Source organism: Homo sapiens, chromosome 6, assembly GCF_000001405.40.
Source record: "Homo sapiens chromosome 6, GRCh38.p14 Primary Assembly".
Lineage (NCBI taxonomy): Eukaryota > Metazoa > Chordata > Mammalia > Primates > Hominidae > Homo > Homo sapiens.
In genome coordinates, this window is record NC_000006.12 from 131333681 (window position 1) to 131359127 (window position 25447).

The 25447-nt window shown below is 41.5% G+C and overlaps 1 long non-coding RNA gene across 5 annotated transcripts in view, besides 8 other annotated features; it reads right to left on the reverse strand.

Moving 5' to 3' along the window:
- Positions 2902-3419: an enhancer, noted in NCBI's record as "NANOG hESC enhancer chr6:131657722-131658239 (GRCh37/hg19 assembly coordinates)". NCBI's record gives its function as "activates a minimal SCP1, AML or CMV promoter by ChIP-STARR-seq in naive H9 embryonic stem cells {active_cell/tissue: H9 hESC(naive)}" and the evidence as "EXISTENCE:reporter gene assay evidence [ECO:0000049][PMID:30033119]".
- Positions 4257-5212: an enhancer, noted in NCBI's record as "OCT4-NANOG-H3K27ac hESC enhancer chr6:131659077-131660032 (GRCh37/hg19 assembly coordinates)". NCBI's record gives its function as "activates a minimal SCP1, AML or CMV promoter by ChIP-STARR-seq in naive H9 embryonic stem cells {active_cell/tissue: H9 hESC(naive)}" and the evidence as "EXISTENCE:reporter gene assay evidence [ECO:0000049][PMID:30033119]".
- Positions 5213-6168: an enhancer, noted in NCBI's record as "OCT4-NANOG-H3K27ac hESC enhancer chr6:131660033-131660988 (GRCh37/hg19 assembly coordinates)". NCBI's record gives its function as "activates a minimal SCP1, AML or CMV promoter by ChIP-STARR-seq in naive H9 embryonic stem cells {active_cell/tissue: H9 hESC(naive)}" and the evidence as "EXISTENCE:reporter gene assay evidence [ECO:0000049][PMID:30033119]".
- Positions 7125-8078: an enhancer, noted in NCBI's record as "H3K27ac-H3K4me1 hESC enhancer chr6:131661945-131662898 (GRCh37/hg19 assembly coordinates)". NCBI's record gives its function as "activates a minimal SCP1, AML or CMV promoter by ChIP-STARR-seq in primed H9 embryonic stem cells {active_cell/tissue: H9 hESC(primed)}" and the evidence as "EXISTENCE:reporter gene assay evidence [ECO:0000049][PMID:30033119]".
- Positions 9387-10074: an enhancer, noted in NCBI's record as "NANOG-H3K27ac hESC enhancer chr6:131664207-131664894 (GRCh37/hg19 assembly coordinates)". NCBI's record gives its function as "activates a minimal SCP1, AML or CMV promoter by ChIP-STARR-seq in primed H9 embryonic stem cells {active_cell/tissue: H9 hESC(primed)}" and the evidence as "EXISTENCE:reporter gene assay evidence [ECO:0000049][PMID:30033119]".
- Positions 10075-10763: an enhancer, noted in NCBI's record as "OCT4-NANOG-H3K27ac hESC enhancer chr6:131664895-131665583 (GRCh37/hg19 assembly coordinates)". NCBI's record gives its function as "activates a minimal SCP1, AML or CMV promoter by ChIP-STARR-seq in naive and primed H9 embryonic stem cells {active_cell/tissue: H9 hESC(naive and primed)}" and the evidence as "EXISTENCE:reporter gene assay evidence [ECO:0000049][PMID:30033119]".
- Positions 10764-11451: an enhancer, noted in NCBI's record as "OCT4-NANOG-H3K27ac hESC enhancer chr6:131665584-131666271 (GRCh37/hg19 assembly coordinates)". NCBI's record gives its function as "activates a minimal SCP1, AML or CMV promoter by ChIP-STARR-seq in primed H9 embryonic stem cells {active_cell/tissue: H9 hESC(primed)}" and the evidence as "EXISTENCE:reporter gene assay evidence [ECO:0000049][PMID:30033119]".
- The window catches only part of LOC105378005 (uncharacterized), a 92629-nt gene continuing 84669 nt past the window's right edge, over positions 17488-25447 (reverse strand). For 4 of the 5 annotated variants that reach the window (XR_001744344.2, XR_942996.3, XR_007059769.1 and 1 more), the window contains 2 exons: positions 23850-24004; positions 17488-19704 (listed from right to left, as the gene is read on the reverse strand). This is a non-coding gene — a long non-coding RNA (uncharacterized LOC105378005). The remainder of the gene's footprint in view (positions 19705-23849; positions 24005-25447) is intronic. The other variant, XR_007059771.1, reaches the window with a different exon arrangement.
- Positions 23160-24359: an enhancer, noted in NCBI's record as "MED14-independent group 3 enhancer chr6:131677980-131679179 (GRCh37/hg19 assembly coordinates)". NCBI's record gives its function as "activates an origin of replication core promoter dependent on BRD2, BRD4, P300/CBP and CDK7 cofactors, and independent of MED14, by STARR-seq in HCT116 cells {active_cell/tissue: HCT116}" and the evidence as "EXISTENCE:reporter gene assay evidence [ECO:0000049][PMID:35650434]".

A 25447-nucleotide genomic window follows, 5' to 3' on the forward strand; every position in this document is an offset into this window, starting at 1 on the left:
TGTTTCTCAGTTTGTTTTCTTCTAGGTCAGACATCAGATTTAACTTTAGTTCTACACAGTTGGTCAATTACTTAATTTCATGGTTGCCTTACACTATACTACCTTCCCAGTCATAAGAAACAATTGTGACAGAAGGAAACTGGAAACTAAATGGTACCTTTCAGATTGGAGTAGTGGAGAAGAGGACTGTGGTTGGAGGTTGAGGTCAAGAATCCAGAAGAGCGCCTCTGGTCAGTGCTAGCCAGGGGAATGTGCGGCCCCAGGCCACCATGTGTGGAGGTGGTAAAGGATCTTGGGTAATCACCATGAGCTGGAGACAGACCTGGTCTCCAGGCTCTTCCCTGAAAGTCTTCTCTTCTTGCTTTTAAGATCTGATGTGACAACTGAAGAAAATGCCAAAGATGATTTCTTTTTCTAAAAAACACATATATATGCTTTTTGAGTCAGGGTCTCACTCTGTCACCTGGCTGGAGTGCAGGTGTGAGAACATAGATCACTGCAGCCTCAATCTCTTGGGCTCAAGTGATTCTCTTGCCTCAGTCTCATGAGTAGCTGAGATTGCAGGCATGTGCCACAACACCTAGCTAAGTTTTATTTTTGTAAAGGTGGGGTCTCGCTATGTTGCCCAGGCTGGTCTTGAACTTCTGGCCTCAAGTGATCCTCTTGCCTCAGCCTCCTGAAGTGCTGGGATTAAAGGTACAAGCTACCTTGCAGGCCCAAAGATGATTTCTTTTGCTTGGGAGATTTGATGCAGAGGACATTTAGGGAGCTCTTTAAAAAACTGTAATATTAAAAAGATCTGAGACCCACTGCTTCCAAATCATGTTACTTCAGATATTGAAACTTGTGATTCTGAAATAACAAGGCACAAGATAGGTGTAGCTTTCTGAACAGAAGGACACTGCCTTTTCAGAAGCTCTTATCCAAACTTAATTTGATTTTTCTACATGTTCCCTGGGTTCTTTTCATTTCCCAGAAGCCAATTTCAGAGGCAAATGGTTATCTGCCAAATTCACTAGATTTAACAAATGTAATATAATTGTATAATCCTTCACTGTTTCCCAATTACTTTTCTTCTTATGCCTCAGATTGCTGAAGGAGCCCATTTACTCATGACATTAGCTTGTTGATCTAAATCCTAGGCAACTTAGTTTACAAATAAATTGACATTTATAATCTTTTAATGTGATACTGCAAATGTAAGGCTAATATTTATCATGGCAGTAAGTATTTTAAGCACATCAGTTTGTTTCCAATTTCTTTTCTTCTCATTACTTCTTGGCCTGTTTTATTCTGACAGCTCTGATTATTGCATACTCTGCAGGGAAACTGTTTGCAGATGTATTTCCTAAGATAATTTCTAATCCTGGTCAGAAATATCAGATGATGGAATATGTAGATTTGAGGCCTTGTTTGGCATCAATGTGAATGTGAAGAGCAACTGATATATTTTTTGTACCAGTTCAATAAGGACATGCATAAAATTAGCTTTAAAAATGTATATTATTAGCTTAAACTCCTAATGTTTGAAAAATAGGTGTTAAAATTGGTGGATTGCACAGCTGAATAATACTAACAATAATAATAGTTCCATATCCTAAGAGTTGAAATAAGCTCTTTGCATTTACTCACTGAATCCTTACAACCCATTGCCAGGTGGATACTACAAATAAGAAAACTGAGGTTTAGAGGTTAAGGAATTCATCTAAATCACATAGCTAGAAAGAGGCAGATCCAAGGTTTGGATCTAGGTTTCTGATACCAATGCCTTCTATTTCCAGAAAGTCCTCTTAGCCAGATTTAGCATAATAAACATATGAACATAATCATACCTTTCCTTGACATGAACTAAATCTCATTCTTTAGTTTTCAAAATGTTCTCATTTCCTAATTGAAAATTCTCTCTATATGAATTACCATATATTATGATGTTTAGCCTCAAAGAAATAGGTTAATACATGGTACAGTTACTCAACTTGATATTCATAATGTTTTAAAGAAGCTCATAAATGTGTCTTGCAATATACCTAAATTCTAATTTGTGGTTATGAAAACATGATTAGACACTGAAACTACACTTGTGTCTATCCACCATCTAATTATTTCATTCTAATTCCTGGTGCTTGCAGTTGGTGTATATCACTTTATTTGTCATATGCCTGACAGAGTCCTGGGTAATTTTATGCCAAGGGTCAGGCATTTTTTAAATATGTCTTTGAAATCAAATCTAGTTCAAAGTCCTTTGAACCTTGATGGCTTAGTCAATGAATGATGCTCCCCAGCCATTTGTAGAAAGATGTCCCTTAGGTAACATGTCTCCTAAATTCATTGTCAGCACAAACTGGTGATAATAATATGAACTTCTTACTCCTTTATTTTCACTTTATTGTATTATTCCATCCTGGATTTCTGTATATCTTATTTATGATTCAAACATTAGTTGTGCCATTATTTAACTTGATTTTCTGGAACCATCTAGATTCTAAATGGTCTCATTTCCAATGAATCAGGTTCTAATTAGTTAATGGGAAGGTATCAGATTCCAAGTGTATGTGTTTTTAATCCCGATTTTGATCCAGACATAGAATTTCATGTTTACATTCAGAAGAATAAAATTACTCCAGTCAGTGTTCAATACACAACACATTTCATTATGGTTTCTTTTGCTGCACTGATGTTCTGTGAATTTGTACATGTTTGATTTATTTTCAAGTCTTCCTCCAAGACCTTTTCTCATACCATTAAATCAAGGAACCATTGAAGAAATTCAAAAGATGACCCTTTGACTTTTCACTTTATTTTATATTATTACACTGCAATAAAGTATATTTTTAAAAAAGTAATATAGAAAAGAAAACCCACAGGGAGTATATCAAAATTGAATCTCATCTTCACAACTTCCTCAAGGCCAGTTTTCAACCGACATTGTTTTCACAATAAAGCAGTTGATTTCATATAACATCTGTCGCTATGGTGACAATAGGAGAGTGATAACTGGAAAAGCTAATAGGGCTTTTCTAACTTCCCTCCTGGAATATGTAGCTGATGTGGAAGCAACAGCAAGGCGATCAGTAAAGGGAGAGGTCAGTGAACCCATCTGGCGAGGCATTGTCTGTTCTCCAAATCAAGAAGGACTAAGGCTTTTGTCAACCACCCTTCTCAAGAGTAATGCTCATTTCTAGCCTTTCATCTGTTTTAGTGCCTGAATTCCCTGAGAAGAGGTCAGAAGTATAGCAATAAACATTGCTAAAAAGAACATAATGGTAGGAGAGAAAGAGGAATGGAGAGATGAAAGCCTAAGCAGCAATGTTAGGGCTTCAAATGATCTAAATTAAAGTAATCCCTGTGAGAAAGAAGATCACGGAGTGGGAATTTTATAAAGGTGTAAGTAGGAGGCAAAGAAGAAGGCATGGGAGGCATAGTTTGCTATCAGCCACATAGCAGTGAACACAGTCTGTGGGACTGACAAGTTTAAAAGCTTTAGCTTTTTTGTACAGTCATATACATGCATGTCTGGCTGTATAGGATTATATGGAACGATGATATAATTGCTGACAGGGGTTACCTTGGAGATGGTGTGTATGTGGGGAATTGAGGTGGCAGAGGGCAAGTGGGAATCAGGAAAAAATAAGATGAAGCATCTGTTTGATCATATTTATGAATGTTTGTAAGATTATCAAAAGGTATATTAAGAAATTAACTCCCCTTCAGACTTTTGAGCATCTTAACACAGACAATCCCTTGGGAATTGCTGAAAGAAGTTTTATCTAGGCATGTCAAGTGAGGGGCAGAAATGAACCAGAAGGTGGTAGACAGCTGTTCTATGTGGCCCTAGTCCTCAGTTCTCTACAATTTTCTTATTTATTTAATTTTTTTTGCAGAAGTGCAGGGAATAATTTTCTAGAAAGGTAGCAAAACCAGAATTATACCCAAGAGTAGGAAACAAAATCATGGAGTTATTTCAGAACCTATAAAAGCCCTCTTTTGAAACATATCTTGCTTATAGATGTCTAAAGTTTCATTTATAGTTAGGCAAAGGACGTAAATAGGTTTGAACTCATGGCCAACTTCATTCTATTGGTTGTTTCTATCTAGTATGGCATTCTAATTATTTATTGCTCTCTAACAAAACATCTCAAAACTTCATGGCTTAAAACAACAGTAGATACTTTATTGTCACTCTTGGTTTCTGTAGGTCACGATTTCAGAAAGAGCTCAATTGTGCAATTCTGGTTCAAAGTCTTTTATGTAGTTCAGTCAGACAGTGGTTTGGTGTAGTGGGGTCTGCAGCAGCTGGGGGTTGGCATCTCTCTATATATGTATTTATAGATGTATACATATGTATATATACACAAATTTATTTATATACACACATATATTATTTCTATAGGGCTAGCCTTCCTTACAGCATAGTGGCCTCAGGGTAATTGAACTGTTTACCTGGCAGCTAAAGACTTCAAGGGCATGTATTTTATCCTTATGAGTGAGCATTTCAGGTAATAAGGAAAAAGCTGCATTATTTTTCATAACCTAATCTTGGGATGCCAACAGAGTTGCTTCTGCTATACCCGGTTGGTTACAAGTGAGCCTCAAATCTGCCCACATTCAAGAGGAGGGGAATCAGACTCCACTTCTCAAAGAGAGAGTAGCAAGGTTCTAGAAAGCACCTGGGGTAGGAGGTACAGTTGCAGACGTCTTTGAGAAAAACAGTCTGTTACAGGTGTTTTACTGAGAAGAATTTGAAGCCATGCCATGTTGTATGGGGGTGCTATAATGTGCCAATGTGTGGGCATAGAGACATGTGGCAGGAAGTGTTGAGCAATGGGGGTCGTATTATGTGTTTTCTTCTCTCTAGGCCTTTTGAAAATGAAGCTGCCCTTGCTAATGACTCCCATATTGATTTCTTCTTTGGCAGAACAGATCAAGTCTGCAAAAACAAGGCACAAAACAAAAACCATAAAACAAATCAAAACAAACAAACCCCTGTTACTAAATCCAGGGCAATGCAGAGGATGGAGCATAGGAAGAGATTATACATAAGTGTACAAAAAAAGAGTTCTAGAAAAACAAACACAGGCAAAGGCTAGCTCTGAAAGATATTGGAACCTACAGTTGTAAATGTCAGGCCTCTGAGCCCAAGCCAAGCCATCGCATCCCCTGTGACTTGCACGTATAAGCCCAGATGGCCTGAAGTAACTGAAGAATCACAAAAGAAGTGAATATGCCCTGCCCCATCTTAACTGATGACATTCCACCACAAAAGAAGTGTAAATGGCCAGTTCTTGCCTTAAGTGATGACATTACCTTGTGAAAGTCCTTTTCCTGGCTCATCCTGGCTCAAAAGGCACCCCCACTGAGCACCTTGTGACCCCCACTCCTGCCCGCCAGAGAACAAACCCCCTTTGACTGTAATTTTCCTTTACCTACCCAAATCCTATAAAACAGCCCCACCCTTATCTCCCTTCACTGACTCTCTTTTCTGACTCAGCCTACCTGCACCCAGGTGAAATAAACAGCCATGTTGCTCACACAAAGCCTGTTTGGTGGTCTCTTCACACAGACACGCATGAAATTTGGTGCCGTGACTCGGATCGGGGGACCTCCCTTAGGAGACCAGTCTCCTGTCCTCCTGTTCTTTGATCCGTGAGAAAGATCGCCCTATGACCTCAGGTCCTCAGACCAACCAGCCCAAGAAACATCTCACCAATTTCAAATCCGGTAAGCGGCCTCTTTTTACTCTCTTCTCCAACCTCCCTCACTATCCCTCAACCTCTTTCTCCTTTCAATCTTGGCGCCACACTTCAATCTCTCCCTTCTGTTAATTTCAATTCCTTTCATTTTCTGGTAGAGACAAAGGAGACACGTTTTATCTGTGGACCCAAAACTCCAGCGCCGGTCACGGACTGGGAAGGCAGCCTTCCCTTGGTGTTTAATCATTGCAGGGATGCCTCTCTGATTATACACCCACGTTTCAAGGGTCTCAGACCACGCAGGGACACCTGCCTTGGTCCTTCACCCTTAGCGGCAAGTCCCGCTTTTCTGGGGAAGGGGCAAGTACCCCGACCCCTTATCTCCTTGTCTCTACCCCTTCTCTGCTTTCCTGGGGCAGGGGCAAGAACCCCTCAACCCCTTCTCTCCTTGTCTCTACCCCTTCTCTGCTTTCCTGGGGCAGGGGCAAGAACCCCTCAACCCCTTCTCCTTCACCCTTAGCAGCAAGTCCCGCTTTCCTGGGGCAGGGGCAAGTACCCCTCAACCCCTTCTCCTTCACCCTTAGCGGCAAGTCCCGCTTTCCTAGGGGGCAAGAACCCCCCAATCACTTATTTCCATGCCCCAACCTTTATCTCTGCACCCCAATCCCTTATTTCTGTGCCCCAACCCTTTCTCTGCTTTTCTGGAGGGCAAGAACCCCCAACCCCTTCTCTGTGTCTCTACTCTTTTCTCTGGGTTTGCCTCCTTCACTATGGGCAAGCTTCCACCTTCCATTCCTCCTCCTTCTCCCTTAGCCTATATTCTTCAGAACTTAAAACCTCTTCAATTCTCACCTGACCTAAAATCTAAGCATCTTATTTTCTTCTGCAATGCTGCTTGACCCCAATATAAACTCGACAGGAGTTCCAAATAGCCAGAAAATGGCACATTCAATTTTTCCATCCTACAAGATCTAAATAATTCTTGTCGTAAAATGGCAAATGGTCTGAGGTGCCTGAAGTCCAGGCATTCTTTTACACATCAGTCCCTTCCTAGTCTCTGTGCCCAGTGCAACTCGTCCCAAATCTTCCTTCTTTCCCTCCCGCCTGTCCCCTCAGTCCCAACCCCAAGCGTCACTGAGTCTTTCTAATCTTCCTTTTCTGCAGACCCATCTGACCTCTCCCCTCCTCGCCAGGCTGAGCTAGGTCCCAATTCTTCCTCAGCCTCCGCTCCTCCACCCTGTAATCTTTTTATCACCTCCCCTCCTCACACCTGGTCCGGCTTACAGTTTCCTTCCGTGACTAGCCCTCCCCCACCTGCCCAGCGATTTACTCTTAAAAAGGTGTCTGGAGCCAAAGGCATAGTCAAGGTTAATGCTCCTTTTTCTTTATCCCAAATCAGATAGTGTTTAGGCTCTTTTTCATCAAATATAAAAACCCAGCCCACTTCATGTCTCATTCGGCAGCAACCCTGTGACGCTTTACAGCCCTAGACCCTAAAAGGTCAAAAGGCCATCTTATTCTCAATATACATTTTATTACCCAATCTGCTCCCGACATTAAATAAAACTCCAAAAATTAGAATCTGGCCCTCAAACCCCACAACAGGACTTAATTAACCTCACCTTCAAGGTGTACAATAATAATAAAAAAAAAAAAGTTGCAATTCCTTGCCTCCACTGTGAGACAAACCCCAGCCACATCTCCAGCACACAAGAAGTTCCAAACGCCTGAACTGCAGTGGCCAGGCATTCCTCCAGAACCTCCTCCCCAGGAGCTTACTACAAGTGCCAGAAATCTGGCCACCAGGCCAAGGAATGCCCGCAGCCCAGGATTCCTCCTAAGCCGTGTCCCATCTGTGTGGGACCCCACTGGAAATCGGACTGTTCAACTCACCTGGCAGCCACTCCCAGAGCCCCTGGAACTCTGGCCCAAGGCTCTCTGACTGACTCCTTCTTGGCTTACCGGCTGAAGACTGACACTGCCTGATCTCCTCGGAAGCCCCATAGACCATCACGGACGCCGAGCTTTAGGTAGCTCTCACAGTGGAAGGTAAGTCCATCCCCTTCTTAATCAATATGGAGGCTACCCACTCCACATTACCTTCTTTTCAAGGGCCTGTTTCCCTTGCCTCCATAACTGTTGTGGATATTGACAGCCGGGCTTCTAAACCTCTTAAAACTCCCCAACTCTGGTACCAACTTAGACAACACTCTTTTATGCACTCTTTTTTAGTTATCCCCACCTGCCCAGTTCCCTTATTAGGCCGAGATATTTTAAGCAAATTATCTGCTTCCCTATTCCTGGATTACAGCTGCGTCTCATTGCTGCCCTTCTTCCCAATCCAAAGCCTCCTTTGCGTCCTCCTCTTGTATCCCCCAAACTTAACCCACAAGTGTAAGATACCTCTACTCCCTCCTTGGTGACCGATCATGCACCCCTTACCATCTCATTAAAACCTAATCACCCTTACCCCACTAAATGCCAGTATCCCATCCCGCAGCATGCTTTGAAAGGATTAAAGCCTGTTATCACTGGCCTGCTACAGCATGGCCTTTTAAAGCCTATAAACTCTCCTTACAATTCCCCCATTTTACCTGTCCTAAAACCAGACAAGCCTTACAAGTTAGTTCAGAATCTGCGCCTTATCAACCAAATTGTTTTGCCTATCCACCCCGTGGTGCCAAACCCATATACTCTCCTATCCTCAATACCTGCCTCTACAACCCATTAGTCTGTTCTAGATCTCAAACATGCTTTCTTTACTATTCCTTTGCACCCTTAATCCCAGCCTCTCTTTGCTTTCACTTGGACTGACCCTGACACCCATCAAGCTCAGCAAATTACCTAGGCTGTACTGCCGCAAAGCTTCACAGACAGCCCCCATTACTTCAATCAAGCCCAAATTTCATCCTCATCTGTTACCTATCTCGGCATAATTCTCAGAAAAACCTACATGCTCTCCCTGCCAATCGTGTCCGACTGATCTCTCAAACCCCAGCACCTTCTATAAAACAACAACTCCTTTCCTTCCTTGGCATGGTTAGCGTGGTCAGAATTCTTACACAAGAGCCAGGACCACACCCTGTAGCCTTTCTGTCCAAACAACTTGACCTTACTGTTTTAGCCTAGCCCTCATATCTGTGTGCAGCGGCTGCCACTGCTTTAATACTTTTAGAGGCCCTCAAAATCACAAAGTATGCTCAACTCACGCTCTACAGTTCTCATAACTTCCAAAATCTATTTTCTTCCTCATACCTGATGCATATACTTTCTGCTTCCTGGCTCCTTCAGGTGTACTCACTCTTTGTTAAGTCCCACAATTACCATTGTTCCTGGCCCAGACTTCAATCCGGCCTCCCACATTATTCCTGATACCACACCTGACCCCCATGACTGTATCTCTCTGATCCACCTGACATTCACCCCATTTCCCCATATTTCCTTCTTTCCCGTTCCTCACCCTGATCACGCTTGATTTATTGATGGTGGTTCCACCAGGCCTAATCGCCACACACCAGCAAAGGGAGGTTATGCTATAGTACAAGCCACTAGCCTGCCTCTTAGAACCTCTCATTTTCTTTCCATCATGGAAATCTATCCTCAAGGAAATAACTTCTCAGTGTTCCATCTGCTATTCTACTACTCCTCAGGGATTATTCAGGCCCCCTCCCTTCCCTACACATCAAGCTCGAGGATTTGCCCCCATCCAGGACTGGCAAATTAGCTTTACTCAACATGCCCGAGTCAGGAAGCTAAAATACCTCTTAGTCTAAATAGACACTTTCACTGAATAAGTAAAGGCCTTTCCTACAGGGTCTGAGAAGGACACCACAGTCATTTCTTCCATTCTGTCAGACATAATTCCTCAGTTTAGCCTTCCCACCTCTATACAGTCTGATAACAGATGAGCCTTTATTAGTCAAATCAGCCAAGCATTTTCTCAGGCTCTTAGTATTCAGTGACTGACTAATGGTCTATTAAAAACACACCTCACCAAGCTCAGCCACCAACTTAATAAGGACTGGACAATACTTTTACCACTTTCCCTTCTCAGAAGTCAGACATGTAATGCTACAAGGTATAGCCCATTTAACCTCCTGTATGGATGCTTCTTTTTATTAGGCCCCAGTCTCATTCCAGACAAAAGACTAACTTCGACTGTGCCCCAGAAAACTTGTCATCCCTACTATCTTCTGTCTAGTCATACTCCTATTCACGTTCTCAACTACTCATACATGCCCTGCTCTTGTTTACACTGCCGGTTTACACTGTTTCTCCAAGCCATCACAGCTGATATCTCCTGTGCTATCTCCAAAGTGCCACTCTTAACTCTTGAAGTAAATAAATAATCTTTGCTGGCAGGACTATGCTGAACCTCCATAGGCACTCTCTAATTAGATGTCCTAGGTCCTCCCAATTCTTAGTGCTTTTATACCTGTTTTTCTCCTTCTCTTATTCCATTTAGTTTTTCAATTCATACAAAACTGTATCCAGGCCATCACCAATCATTCTATACGACAAATATTTCTTCTAACATCCCCACAATATCACCCCTTACCACAAGACCTCCCTTCAGCTTAATCTCTCCCACTCTAGGTTCCCACACCACCCCTAATCCCGCTTGAAGCAGCCCTGAGAAACATCGCCCATTCTCTCTCCATACCACCGCCCAAAAATTTTCGCCGCCCCAAGACTTCAACACTATTTTGTTTTATTTTTCTTATTAATATAAGAAGGCAGGAATGTCAGGCCTCTGAGCCCAAGCCAAGCCATCGCATCCCCTGTGACTTGCACGTATAAGCCCCGATGGCCTGAAGTAACTGAAGAATCACAAAAGAAGTGAATATGCCCTGCCCCACCTTAACTGATGACATTCCACCACAAAAGAAGTGTAAATGGCCGGTCCTTGCCTTAAGTGATGACATTACCTTGTGAAAGTCCTTTTCCTAGCTCATCCTGGCTCAGAAAGCTCCCCCACTGAGCACCTTGCGACCCCTACTCCTGCCCACCCGAGAACAAGCCCCCTTTGACTGTAATTTTCCTTTACCTAGCCAAATCCTATAAAACAGCCCCACTCTTATCTCCCTTCACTGACTCTGTTTTCGGACTCAGCCCGCCTGCACCCAGGTGAAATAAACAGCCATGTTGCTCACACAAAGCCTGTTTGCTGTTCTCTTTACAGGGACGCGCATGAAAGTAAAGACTACAAAACCCTGATAATTTTTATATTTCCTTGGGATAGAGATTGTAGTGGGGGTAACCTTCTTAACCAAGAGAGAAGAAAAGCCATAAATAATACAAATTGACAGAATTTTTTACACAGAAATTAAAAGCTTTAGCACAGCAAAAGAAAACACAAAAACAGAAGACAATCAAATAGATTGAGAGGAAACATTTGCAATACACATAACAAAGGATTGTATTGCAAAGAGCTTCTAGCAAATGTGCAAGCAAATTATAAACAATTCAGTAGAAAAATGAGCCAAGAAAATCAGCAGTCAGGCCACAGAAAAGAGAAAATGTCTGTAGGGGAGAAAAAGTAATATCTTTTTTGCCCATCGCAAGGTTCACAGTTGACATCCCTATAACACAAGACAGATTAACAAGAGACAAGGATAACACATTTATTTAACCAAAGTTTTATGTGACACTGGAGCCTTAAAAATGAAGACCCAAACACCCAGGGAAGACTGTGCATTTCTATGCTTAGTCTGATGAAAGAAATAGTTGTGGAGATGTGGAGAAAGATAATTGGACAAAAAGAGATATTATCTAATAGTAATAAACAGGGGAGTGGAGTGGGGTGGAGGACTTAGCTAGGTCTGTTTATTCAGATTTTTTCCTGTGTCTCTGTATGATATCCCTTGTCCCCATGGGGCAGGACACCTGTCACATGAGGATCTTCAGGGGTGAAAGGAGGAAATCAGAGAGTGACCTTTGTAAGTTTTATAGCTTACTTTGTGGGATAGGAATTTTAGTTTCCATGACTTGCTTTAGGGGAGCAAGGATGGTGGGAGAAAGGAGGGCAAGAGAAGGTGAGAGACCTGCAGGCTTCTGCAGCCTCCAATCTCCTTCAGTCAAAATACTTAGCATGCCAAGGCACCATACTCTGGAGTATGGTGTTCTGAGCCCCGTCAGGTTCAATAAATATATGAACTCTATTAGTCATCTGGAAAATGCAAATTAAAATAAAAACAAGCTACCATTTTAAACTATTGGATTCCAAGTTAAAACATTGATTATATATACACATATATATATATTTGAGATGGAGTCTTGCTCTGTTGTCCAGGCTAAAGTGCAGTGGCGTGATCTTGGCTCACTGCAATCTCCACCTTCCAGGTTCAAGTGATTCTCTTGCCTCAGCCTCCCAAGTAGCTGGGATTACAGATGTGCACCACCATGCCTGGCTAATTTTTGTATTTTTAGTACAGGCGGGGTTTCACCATGTTGGCTGGGCTGGTCTTGAACTCCTGCCCTCAAGTGATCCACCAGCCTTGGCCTCCCAAAGTGCTGGGATTACAGGCATGAACCACCGTGCCCGGCCAAAGTATTGCTAATATTGAAGTGGACTAAGCCACTCCAATATACGCTACTTTGGCAAAGGATTATTTTGAGCCTAAGACAACTGAGAAAAAGCAAAGCAAAGCTCTCTGCCCTTCCCTATTTGCCTAAAAGCAGGATACAAATTTGTTACAGTGTCTTCCTGCCCCTCTCTACCAGGAAGGACAGAATTTAATCATTGGAGACAACTCTAAACCTTTATCAGAGCATTAGGGGAATCTACTTAACAAACGACACTAACTAGTCTTTATCTTCCATTTGTTTCCGCCATATATTTGCCTTCCCACAACTTGGGGTCCTGGAGACTCAAACTCCTTTTCCTTTTCCTTGTCACTTCTCTAAAATTTTTTGTTCTTTTGTTGAGATGCTACTTAAGCCCAAGTTCTAACCACCCCTTTGAGTTACTCATTGCTGAGTGCTGTCATGTGTATGAGTGATGCACTTGCTAATAAACTTCTGTTTTACTCTAGTTCATCTGTCTTTTGTCAGTCAGTTTATAGCGCTCCAGCTGGAAAACCTAAAATGTTTCCTCCTTCATAATATCAAGTGCTGGCTTGGATGTGAAGAAGTCACACACATTGTGGGTTGCTTATAAATTGACATAGCTCATGCTGAAGTAATCTGGCATTTTTATGAAAATTAAAAATGGATATACTATGTATATATTTGAGCATATATTTGTAGAAAAATTATTTGCATATAAATTTATATATTAAAGAATGCTTATTGTGGCAATTTTCTTTTTTATAAAAACAAGAAAAAATGGAAGATCTTTCAATAAGGTAATAATTGCATTTTTTAAATTATAGAAATTTAGACTATAGAACACCGTGTAGTTAAGTAAAATAAAAAGGTATATCCCTACATGTTGTCTTAGTCATATATCAACATATAATAAAGTGGAAAAAGTTATAGAGTAATATGTATATATACATGCCTGTGTTTATAACATATGTAATATAAGGAAAATGAAAAATATTTGTTTGTATGATTATTTAAGTAAATGAAGAAGCACAGATGAATTCATTTGAAATTTTCAGTGGGATTAACAAAGCTTTGTTAACACCCATTTGAGGTGATATTGGAAGGAAAACAATTTTTTTTTCTTTTTTTTGAGACAGAGTCTTGCTCTATCCCCCAGGCTGGAATGCAGTGGCGCAATCTCAGCTCACTGCAACCTCCTCCTCCAGGGTTGAAGTGATTCTCATACCTCAGCCTTCTGAGTAGCTGGGATTACTGGCACCCACCATCATGCCTGGCTAATTTTTGTGTTTTTAGTAGAGACAAGGTTTTGCCATGTTGGCCAGGCTGGTATCGAACTCCTGACCTCGAGTGATCCGCCTGCCTCAGCTTCCCAAAGTTCTGGGATTACAGGCATGAGCCACCGCACCCAGCCGAACAATTTTACTTTATAAACATCTTTATCTTTGGAAATGTTTCTGCTAGCAATGTATTATTGGTATCTGATCCAAAAGACTAAAGAAAATAAACGGCCATTACATGCGTTGGCTGGACCAGTTCTTGGTACAAATGAATATCTGTTGAATGAATAAATGAGTGTCTTGGATCCATTGTCACACTTATGTATGTCTCTTTTTCCTGCATAGTGGGAGATGATATTTCTACAGCTAAATCCATTTTAAAAATCAAGAATAATGCTTTTTGTTCTTTCCCAAGGAAGGTAGTTCTAGTACATCAAGTTCCTATTTTGATAATTTAGTCTTATATAATTTCTATTTTCAAAATAATTCTGGTTAAAAAACAACAGCAAATATAAATGGCTCTATTGGTGCTTTATTTAGTTGGAAGATCAAAAATTTGCAGCCCAGTTTTTTCAAGTTGATTCAGTTCCCTGCCCAAATTGATTAGAAAAGTCTCATTTCATGCAATTACAGATCTTTATTGCCTTTCATTATAGAATGTTTTCCTTAAGGAATAGCCAATTTTTGAGAAAGACTAATCTTCTGGAGTGATTTAAAAAATTGTGGCACCTCATTCTTTTGAAAATTGAATTTGAACAAAATCCAAGGACAGTTTAAAATTCAGCTTCCACTTTAGAGGACTTCATTTTAAGTCCATCAATGCCTATAAAGCATCAAGTAAAATTCTCTTTCTACTCATCATATTATCATCTGATTTCAACAATAGCTCAAATTTTAATAAAAATTTTAATACTTACATGATTATTATCTTTATTTGAACTAGATGGGCACTAACTAAACTTATTCCTAAGGGAGGAGAATAGAAGAGCCTCCTTCAACTTTACTGCCTCTTTCTCATGCATCCAAAGCTCCTGTTATGAACATTCCTGGATTGTGAATTTGTTCTATAGCACACAGCAAACAGGAGCAGCGTCATCTCTGCATTTAACATATGAACATCTCTGCAGGTAACACGAACCACATGGATGAACCTGTGCCTCACCTCGTGGGCTGCTCTGTGACAGCAGAACACCCACTAGACAAAGAAGCTTCCCACCAACTTCTGCTTTTCCCAAAAGCAGAATGTCATAGACTGGTTACCTGTGTACTATGCCCCTCAGGAAGGGAGAATTCACTTCATTCTTTTACCTGCAGACAGGTTGGGAGGGTTATGCAAGTCAGGGGCATATAGCCTGCCTGACAGAGGCAGAAAGACCTCAGGTGACTTTGAGAGTGTTTGATAACAGGAAATATGATAAAATGCAAGGGCTTCTGTGTAACTGGGAATTTTTTCAGAGTAGAGAGGTCTCAACCTAGAATGTCTACTCACCTAGTAAAGTGAAGAGACCTGCAGTCTTCCTCTGACAGTGACAGGCAACCTCTAGGAGGCACGGAGCCGAAGGGCAGACTGAGAACTGCGTAGTTTTCTCCAGGAACAGACATTTTTTCAGAGGGATTGGGACTCTGGGGGAAGCACTTTGATTAGAGAGTGAGATAGAGCACAGAAATCCAATTCATGCCATCTCAGCATGCAGGATCTAGACTTCGAACATTCAAGGGAGTCTGGAAGTGTTTGAATGCTGGTCTTGTCAAATAATGAGGAACGACCATTCCAGCAAAGAGCAGTCTAAATAGAAGAGAAGCAGGACACAATGCAGATGCTAGACAAAGAAAGAACATCCAGATCAGACCAGGAAAAAAGATAATTCCTTTCACTCTATCCAGCTAATGATTTTACTAATCTCCAGTGAGGGAGGATTGAAAGTTAATAGAAAAACCACAGGAGATTCAACTTGTAGTTTCAGTATATTAGCATATATATTCTTGCTAAAATTACTTCAGTTGCTTTCTATAATTCTCATTTCCCTTATGTGGCATTACACATTCTTATCTTCCCTCCTCAAAAGTAGATTAAGTGGAGGCTGTCTCAGTCTAGAGGGTTCTGTAGGTACTGAACACATTATAGAGAAATCACAAGATCATGCAGCTTGGTGCTTCAACAGATGCCTGACCCTACCCAGCCTGGGTGGATCCTTGGCACTACCCAGGGTTCCTCTAAGATGTGGCCACTATATGGCTCCTAGATCCATTCTTGACCTAGGTACATGGGCCCAGAGAGTGTAATTAAGTGATATAGTCGGAGGTGGTTATTACCTAGACAATACTAGCTAGTCAATTGAGGCAGTAAATCATACAGTTCAGTTAGAATCACACTTAGAATACCTTCTCTAAGGCAAGGTTTTAAAAACTTGCTTTTAATTTAAAAGGCTGACTTGGTGGTAGGTCTGGAGTGGAGCCCCAAAGTCTGCCTTTTATGTAAGAACCCCAAGGTGAATCTGATGTAGGTGGTCCATGGCTCTACTTTGACTTCCTGAGCTAAATGATTTGCTGATTTATTAGACAGTAAACAATTGAGGCTGGGTGTGGTGGTGCACGCGTGTAGTCTCAGTTACTTGAGATGCTGAGGCAGGAGAATCGCTTGAGCTCAGCAGTTTGAGGCTATGGTGAGCTATGATTATGCCCACTTCACTCTAGCCTGGGTGATAGAGCCACACCCTGCTTCAAAAAAAAAAAAAAAGAAAAAAAAAAGTAAACAGTTGAAATTTCATGGCAGACATTTCCAGCCTATGTGTGTAGAAATGAGCTGAGATACAGGTGTTGTCAATAAGCAGTTTCTTTGGCCCAGTTGGCCTGGCTCTCTTTGGGCTGCTATAAGCACTTTCACACCGTGCAGAGATTTCCTTCTCGAGGAGATGCCAGATCAGACTGTTATAAACATAGAAAGGGGGAATGGGGACTTTCTTTCATAAGGATTAAAAATAATACTCCAAATTCAGCCTTCCCACAAAACCAAGTAAATCAATGTAAGTAAAGCTAAAATAGGCAGAAAAGGGCACCATTGCAATGGTTAAAAAAAAAAAAAAAAAAAAAAGAGGCTGTGGAAATAGTTGTGAAAAAGTCTGCAAAATGCATAGTAGAAAGAGAAGGGAAAGCCTTCTGGGTGCAATGGTAATTGAAGGCCTCCTTTCTCTTTACGGAAGGGTACCTGTTGTAGCCACGTGAGTTAACACCTTACAGAAGGCCTCAGCACTAGTGTGTTCTTCTTTCTGAGTATGTACTTAACTATAGGAAACAATTTTTTTGTGTGTGATTGCAGAAATAAGAAATCTGAGTTATTCCAAAGAGACTGAAAAAGGACCTGAGACAGGATACTTTGTGGAAATCACACTTCTCCTGGAGTTTGCCTACAATAGGATCTCAGAGATTCATCCCTGAACTCTAGGTTTACGGTGACTTCTTTTAAATTGGCTTGCCTCCAAAAGAGAGTAACTCAAAGCTGAGTTTAAAATTCTTCCACCTCTTTCTTGATATCATTATTGATAAGGCCAAATCTTTGATGGCTATTATAACTCTGGCCTGGCTTAGTGAAATCTCGCAGACAACCTAAACCTCAACTGGAATGACTTGTTAGTAGTCAATACTTATTTCAAACTTTAGATCCTCTATTCATTCTTTGGCGAGGACACTAATAAGATACAAGGAACAAGATGCAGTTAAAATAATGCAGGTGGGAGCTGGGGATATGTGGCCACAATGCAAAACACAAGAAAATGTCCTGGCTCCTGACCTTGAGGATCTTAATGATCTACCTGAGATATCTCCGTGTCCACCCACTTCACACCTACAGGGAGCAAGCTCATTTCTGGGTACACACAGCAGACTCTTAATAAATATTGCCTGAAAGATAACGCTTTATCAGTATGAACTAAGAGTAGAATGAACGTTCATCTTTCTTTTGCATTCACCTCATCTCATTCCGTTTGTTTCAAGTCAGTTCTCCTGCTGGGAGAGGCTGCAGCACTCCTGTCTGGAGTGAGGGAGGGTCTGTTGTAGCACAACAGTTCCATGCTACTCCTTTGTCTGTTCATGTCAACAGTCTATGTATGGAGCACCTATGTTTAGGTGGCTGTGTTAAGCACCTTGGAGGTGGGATGAAGATAAAGAGAGAAAAGCAACAGAGTCTCCTTTAGAGGGGAGGGCAAGATCTTGGTTAAAAACAAAAACAAAACAGGTTCTATCACTCAATGTATTTGTGATCACTTTGTAACACTTTTCTGAGCTCCAGTTTCCTCTCCTGTATAGTGGGAACAATATGTATTTCCATGGTGTCATAAGGGTCAAATGAAATAATTAGAGTTGCAAGATTTAGCAAATAAAAACAGTGTAAATTATATTCCACCCAATATTTGGGACGTACAAAACAGTATTTATTGTTTCTTTAGAATTCAAATTTAACTGACATCATATATTTTATCTGGCATGCCTAGAAATAATGTTATGATAATAGTAGCCATTCTCTGAGTGCCTATTTCATGTGCCAGGCACCACTAGGTACCTAGATTACATTGGTTATAGTTCTAACAGCAGCTATTACTAACTCCATTTTGCATCTAGGATGTGGAAGTTTTCCAAAAACAAATAGCCAGTAAATAGCGGAGGCAAGATTCAAATTCACTTTATCATGCTGCTTCTTCAGGATATGAAAGCAATCTGAAACTAGAAAATAGCCTGGTATTTATGGTCTCTTTGTTCATTATCTCTGTCCTGAGTACAGCAAAGGAACTGTGGAAAGTTATGGGAATGTGGAAGTTAAGAGTTTCCATCAAGTGTAGACAAAAGCCTGTATCTACTTCTCAACTTCCAGGAAATCAGTATTTCTACGGATACCAAGGCAAGGTCCATAAATGCTCTAAAACAACCCACAGTGTATGATGTGACATGTGGGATTATCTATCCCAAAGCCCATGCCAGAGCAGAGATGTATTGACTAACTGGGCCTTAAAGTAAATTAGTTCTGTAAGCTACTTAATATGTCCCATTTTTGCTGTTAGATGACAAAAGATTCAGCTTAGCCACCTATACTTCTAATCTTTAAAGTAAATTCAGAACTTCATTTATTCAAGCATTTATTTCATTCTCTCATCCATCCATGTGTCCATTCAACAAGCACTTATATAGTACTTTCTAGACATTGTTCTAAGCACTTTACAAACATTAACTTACTTAATTCTCATAATCGTCCTCTAAGTAGGTATTATTATTACCCCCATTGAAATTCGGAATGGTGACCCCAGATTCCTACTAGAACCTTGTGATGGCTCAGTGGCCCTCCAGAGATGTCCATGTCCTAATCCTTGGGACCTATGGATATATTATATGACACACCAAAGGGATTTTGCAGATGTGATTAAGGTAACCGACCATAAAATCAGAAGTTTATCCTGGATTTTTGAGGTGGACCCAATCTAATCAATTTTGAGGTGGACCAATCTAATAAACAGCTGTGTTTAACAGCTATTAAACACAGAGAATGTTCTGTGACTGAGTTCAGGAGAGATGCAGCAGAAGCGGAAGTCAGAGAGATTAGAGGTGTGAGGGGGATGGGATGCACTGTTGCTGGTTTGAGGACGGAGGTTGCAGCATGATGGGTAGTGTAGGTGGCCTTACATTGCTGACAGAGGCCACATCTCCCAGCCAGTGAGAAGACGACAACTCAGCCAGCGAGGAAACAAGAATTCAGAACATGATTCTGCCAGCAACCTGCATCAGTTTGGTGGCAAATTCTCCCTCAGAGCCTTCAGATGAGAGCCTGGGCCAGCTGATACTTTGACGTCAACCTCTGGGACCAAGGGCAGAGGAATCCATTGAGCTCATGTGAACTTCTGGCCTGAAGAATCGCGGGATAATCCATTTGTGTTGTTTTAAGCCACTAAATTTGTGGTAATTTTTATAGCAGAAATAGAAAATGAATATAGACCATATCTCTTTAGGTTATTATTTTTTACATCCCAGTTTGATAGTCATGTCATCTTCCATTAGCCAGAGTATTTAGTTAAGCAGAATATTTCTTTCTGTACTGATTGTGCTGACCAGGTATATTTCGCATTGTGCAGTTGCAGAGGTTCCGTGCCCAATTCTGGGACTCACTCCTTGTATTCTTCATTTACCAGGAAGGGGAATAGGAGGCTCTGAAGGATGGAAGAGGGACAGGCTTTTCAAATATTGATTAGGAAAAGGCAGCAGGAGAGAAGACTGAAAGCACAGACTCTCAGCCTGAATCTGGGCTTAAACTCCGGCTCTATTGCCTAGTAGCCATGTGGCTTTGGGCAAGTCACTTAACATCTCTGTGCCTTGGCTTATCTTCAAAATGCAGATGACGATCAGCATAGTACCTAGGGTTGCTATGATTAAGTGAGTCAAAGAATGCGGTGTGAGTATTGCAAGGATGATCTAAGTGTTCACTGTTATTATTGTCTCCATTGCAGAAGGGTTTCACAGAGAGGTGAAGATAGAAGCACACCAAATAAAGAAAAGCTCAAAAGGGTTTGCAATCGGAGAAATGGAAATGAAAATAATAGTGAGATATCACTGTAAGCCAGTCAGATGGGCACAAATGGGGAAGCTAGACGATGTTGGTGTTGGAGAGGATGAGGGACATGGGCAGCACCCGCCTCACTGCAGTTGGGAGTGTGATCCGGGCAGTCATTCTGTTGAACAACCTGATACTACTGAGTCAAGGTAAAGATACCCTCTATGTCTTGGTTTGGGTTCTCCCAGAAACAGCTCCTTAGATAAGGATTTAAGTGGAAGTGGCTTATTCAGGAGATGATGCCAGGATATGCTGGTAGGAAGGGAAGGCACTCAATAAGGGCATGTTTTCAAGCAAGTTCCGCTGTGAGTCACTGGAGCTTAACTGGGGACTTCCAGGAGCAGGTGTAGAACAAGAACCTCCCAATTTTCCCATCCAAGAGGTGAAAGAGCTGGGGTATTTATATACAAGGCTCCTCATACATTGGCTCAGGGCTGCTGAGAATGAGAGTGCAGGTGCTCGCCGTTGGCAGTTAAGGAGGCCTGGCCTGCAATAAGACGATGAGATGTGGGTATGGCACTGATAGCGTCTACCCCCCAGGATGGCCTAGGAAATCCACTCAAGTATAAACCTAAAGAAATGATCACGACATTTCATTTGGGAGACATGTGAGGATGTTTGCAATGTTATTTGTGATGGCAGGAGTTCTAGGCAGGCTGGGTGACTATCACTAGGAGAGTGAGTAGAATCCATGTGGGGAACGTGCACATGGGGTATTGTGCAGTAGTTAAAAGTAACAGATTGAGTTATACATAGCTACATAATGAAGCTTAAAAATAATCCCAAGTGAGAAAAGAAACAGAATGAGATCTATCACACACACATACACACTCTCTCTCTCTGTCACACACACACCCACACCCACACACTCTCTGTCACACACACACACACACCCCAATGAAAATTTTGTAGCAATGCACTTAACAAAAAAAATCATGTACACATGTCAGAATGGTTTTTCATAAAGGAGTGGAGGAAAAGCAGTTGGCTATGATACTAAGATAAAAAGTAATTAATTGATTTACTTTTTTTTAACAACACAAAAGGGGAACCCTGTAGAGATCTTTGATGATAATGTGTTGTGAACTGAGTGTGAAGAATTCAACAATCTGCACCTCTCATCCCAGAGAAAACAATGTACACCAGTGATTTCTGATCCTGTCCATTTCTCTGAACTAAAGTGCTTGTTTGTTCATTTTCTAGAGTTTTACCTGCTTCTCAGTGGTCTATCCATTGCGTGAGGGTGGTGGCAGCAGAGAGGGGAGTGGAGGTTGCAGCCCTGACTGAGGCCCACTCTGATGGAAAGAGAGGGAATTCATCCAGAGACTGAGGTCAAGGTCAAGTTGGGGTGGAGTGGAATGGTTTCCTAGACATCCTGTCGTGAAGAAGACCAGACAGCCCATCGGGCTAAGGCTAGGCCAAGCCAGTGGAGCAGATGGGGTGATGCCAAGATAAGGAGGGAGCCAGGAAGGAGAACCAGGTTGTGACATTCCCAGACAGAGGTTAAAATGCTGGCTCTGTGTTCATGAAGCTGAGTGCCCAGGCAAAGTCACCAAGTGCCCAGGGAGATGATGCTTCAAATGCATTTTTACATGCTTTTTTTACCTGCCACTGCCAGATAATGGTAAGGATTTTTTTCTACCCTAATGAAGCTGTTAGAAGTATTAACATTTATATAAAATAGTAAATAGAATTTGAAGGTGTCTATACTAAAGATGGATTGAATTTTGATTTTAATATAGTTTACATACCAACCATGGACTTGAGTTCCAGATAGGAATAATTATTTTTTGTATCGATCTCTTTAAATCTTAATTTTTCATTTAAAAAATCTTTTGGCACCAGTCAAAACCAACAACCTTGCCTTTTGTGATGTCCAGCAAGCACAGTGCAAATATGTAACAAATAAGTATTATGGAGTAGATGGTTTTGTGCAGCATGCATGAGAAATTCATTAATTTAAATTTAATTTGAAAAACATAATGAATTCAAGGTACTATTCCCAGTGTAGTTGTGTAGATAAAGATTAAAAAGTCATAGTTTATAAAATTAATCTGTCTTAAGGGTATATTCTTCTGTTGGAAGTCAGGGGGTGTCTCAGGAACAGCCTACAATGGCAAGAAATTTTCAATAAGATGGATTTTTTTTTTAATCACACTTCCAGAAGAAATTTAGAAATAGGGCTTTTTCTCTAAGGCAATACCTAGAAAAAAATGATTTGACCAAGGGCTTAGAAAAATTAGCAGTGTTTGCAATTGGTTACAGAGGTCTTATCGCCTATCACAGCTTGCTTAGCTCTCTTGAGTTGTATTTATAAAGCGTTCTGGCTGATCTACTTAGTTAGATGAACGGTAAGATTATTTTTGCCTTTTAGCTATGTGATGCTGAACTCTAATCAATTGAAATGCTTCACGGTGACAGAATGCCTTCTGTTTGCCAATGCAAAAAATCCTATTAAGTGGCAAATTATAAAATCTCCAAGTAGCATCCAGCTGAAATATTTGTTTGTATTTTCTATAATAGATCTTTCCTTTGAAGCAGCTGCTATTTCAAAGGAGATTGTAGGCATTTGAAAAATCTGGGTCACTCCTCATGCATTCCAGAAAGAAATCTGTGATAGACTAAGGCCTCAGGACCCATCTGTGGCTGTGTGGGAACTGTGTGGGGTTGTAAATAAAGCTGGTGGGGGGCCCAGAGCAGTTTTCAGGGCCCAACCCTCAGCGCCAGGATTTCTAAATACTGAAAACTGGATGGGGAAAAACTGAAAAATGGGGTCTTTAAAATTTTTTTTAGAGACAGGGTATCCCTCTGTCACCCAGACTGGGGCACAGTGGTGCGAACATGGCTCACTGTAACCTTGAACTCCTGGGCTCAAGTGATCCTTCTGCCTCAGCCTCCTGTGCAGCTGAGGCTACAGACATGTGCCACTATGCTGGGCTAATTTATTAAAATGTTTTGTAGAGATGGAGTCTTGCTATGTTGCCCAGGCTGGCCTTAAGCTTCTGGGCTAAGTGATCCTTCTGCCTCAGCCTCTCAAAGTGCTGGAATTCAGGCACAAGTCACTGCACCTGGCAGTTTTAAAAAATTGTTTGTAGAGAGGGGACCTCACTATGATGTCCAGGCTGGTCTTGAACTCCTGGCCTCAAGTAATCCTCAGCCTCCCAAAGCATTGTGATTACAGACATGAGCCCCTGTGCCCAACCCTGAAAGACACAGTTTTTAGGTAAGTACATAATTAAAATGCTAATCGTATTCACATTAGTAATGAGGATTTTAATATTGAGGAAAGGATGACAAAGGAGTTGGGTCACATGGGAGGGTCATTGCACTCAGAGAATAATGTTTTTCTATCCTTAAAGAGTTGCATTAGCCTCTTTTTGGTTAAAAAAGTCACATCTGGCCGGGCGTGGTGGCTCATGCCTGTAATCCCAGCACTTTGGGAGGCCGAGGTGGGTGGATCATGAGGTCAGGAGATCGAAACCATCCTGGCTAACACGGTGAAACCCCGTCTCTACTAAAAATACAAAAAATTAGCCGGGCGTGGTGGCAGGCGCCTGTAGTCCCAGCTACTCGGGAGTCTGAGGCAGGAGAATGGCGTGAACCCGGGAGGAGGAGCTTGCAGTGAGCCGAGGTCGCGCCACTGCACTCCAGGCTGGGCGACAGAGTGAGACTCAGTCAGCAAAAAAAAAAAAAAAAAATTCACATCCATATTTTTTAGGACAAAAAGTTGCTAATAACACTTACCTCTGATTGATAAGTAATCTGAGCTGCAGGAAGTAGGAGGTTTGCTCCCCTTTGGCGACCTCACCCACGTGCACACACAAACTCAGAGGCTCCCTGGGTACTTTTTACTTTCCTCTTTCTGTGTTTCCATGTTTTCTCAGCAGCTTTCCCTCCTTCTGTGAAGGAAAATTTCAGCAGGACACAGTCTGCCAAGCTAAGCACATGGCAGACAGTTGATAAACTTCACTAAGATTTCAAGGAAGTGTGGGGAAGAAAATTTGTTGGATTTTCTTTAGACAGGAAGGAGAAAGACCAGTGAAAAGAAGTGGAAAAAAGAGAGAAATCCAAAAAGATGGTGGTAGGCTGGGATTAGGTTAAGTCAAAGTGCCCACAGGTACGGGTTGAAAAACATTTTGAAGATCTGCAGTGATTATTCTTCCACTTAAAGTTATTTATAAAATTGTTTGATAAATTGGCTTTTCGGGTGCTCAAAAAATGGATCAACCCTTTTGCTTCTAGGAAGATGGAGTAGACATATTTTTCCCTATTCCTCTTGCTAAGTACAACTAAAAGCCCTGGATATTCTATTAATATATAAAACAAGCATAAGACGACTGTGAAAGGTGGGGAGAAGGCAGCATACTGCATAGGGACCTCTGCACACAAGAAATGATACTGTGGTGAGTTCTTCAGGTTTTCTTTTTGCTTCATAAATTCCAGTCCAGAAGGTGAAGAAGCTGGCACTTTAGAAACGCCTGCTAGGACACATGAAACAGCCCTGATAAAAGCCCACACTCTCTAGCCAAAGAACCAGAAAAGGGGCAGCCTCGCAAAACAGGAAACGTTTACATAATGTCCACTCTACTCCAGCCAAACACCACAGAAAAATCTGTGGCCACACCCCCACCCACACCAGCAAAGTGCTAAGGGGGCATCCCGACTTCTACTCTTGTCAATCTTTAAAACCCCAAGCGCTTCACCAAGGTGGTGTCAGAGAATGTTGGGTAGGGAACAAGGCTTTCATTCACACTGTGTGGTAATGAGACCCCCTCACACTGCAGTATCCCTGAAGATCTTTGGGAAAGCTTAGACTTCCACCACAACCCAGCAGTGAAGAGGCGCTGCACCCGCCTCTGCTGGGGTGGTATCAGAGGAGGCCTGGTAGAGAGACAGGACTTCCACCACTGCCCAGCGGAAATGAGGTCACTCACTTCCTTGTGGGGTCAGTGGAAGCTGTATGGGAAGAAGTAATGAGGCATACAAATCCACCAGTTACAGAAGTATCTGTGGAGGCCTAGTGGGGAGCTAGATCTCCTGCCTCAGCCAGCAGTACAAAGAGACCCCTTGGATGTCAATGGAGGCTGTTTTAGTCAGGGTTCTCCAGAGAGACAGAACCAATAGAACTTGTCTCTCTCTATATATATATAGAGAGAGAGCTACAGAACCAATAGGATCTCTATAGGTTCAGTCTCTCTCTATATATCCTATATATATATATATATGTATGTGTATATATATATCCTATTTTTATATAAACATAGGATATATTTAAGTATATGTGTATATATATCATATATAGGATATATAAGTGTATATATACTGTATACATACTTATAAAT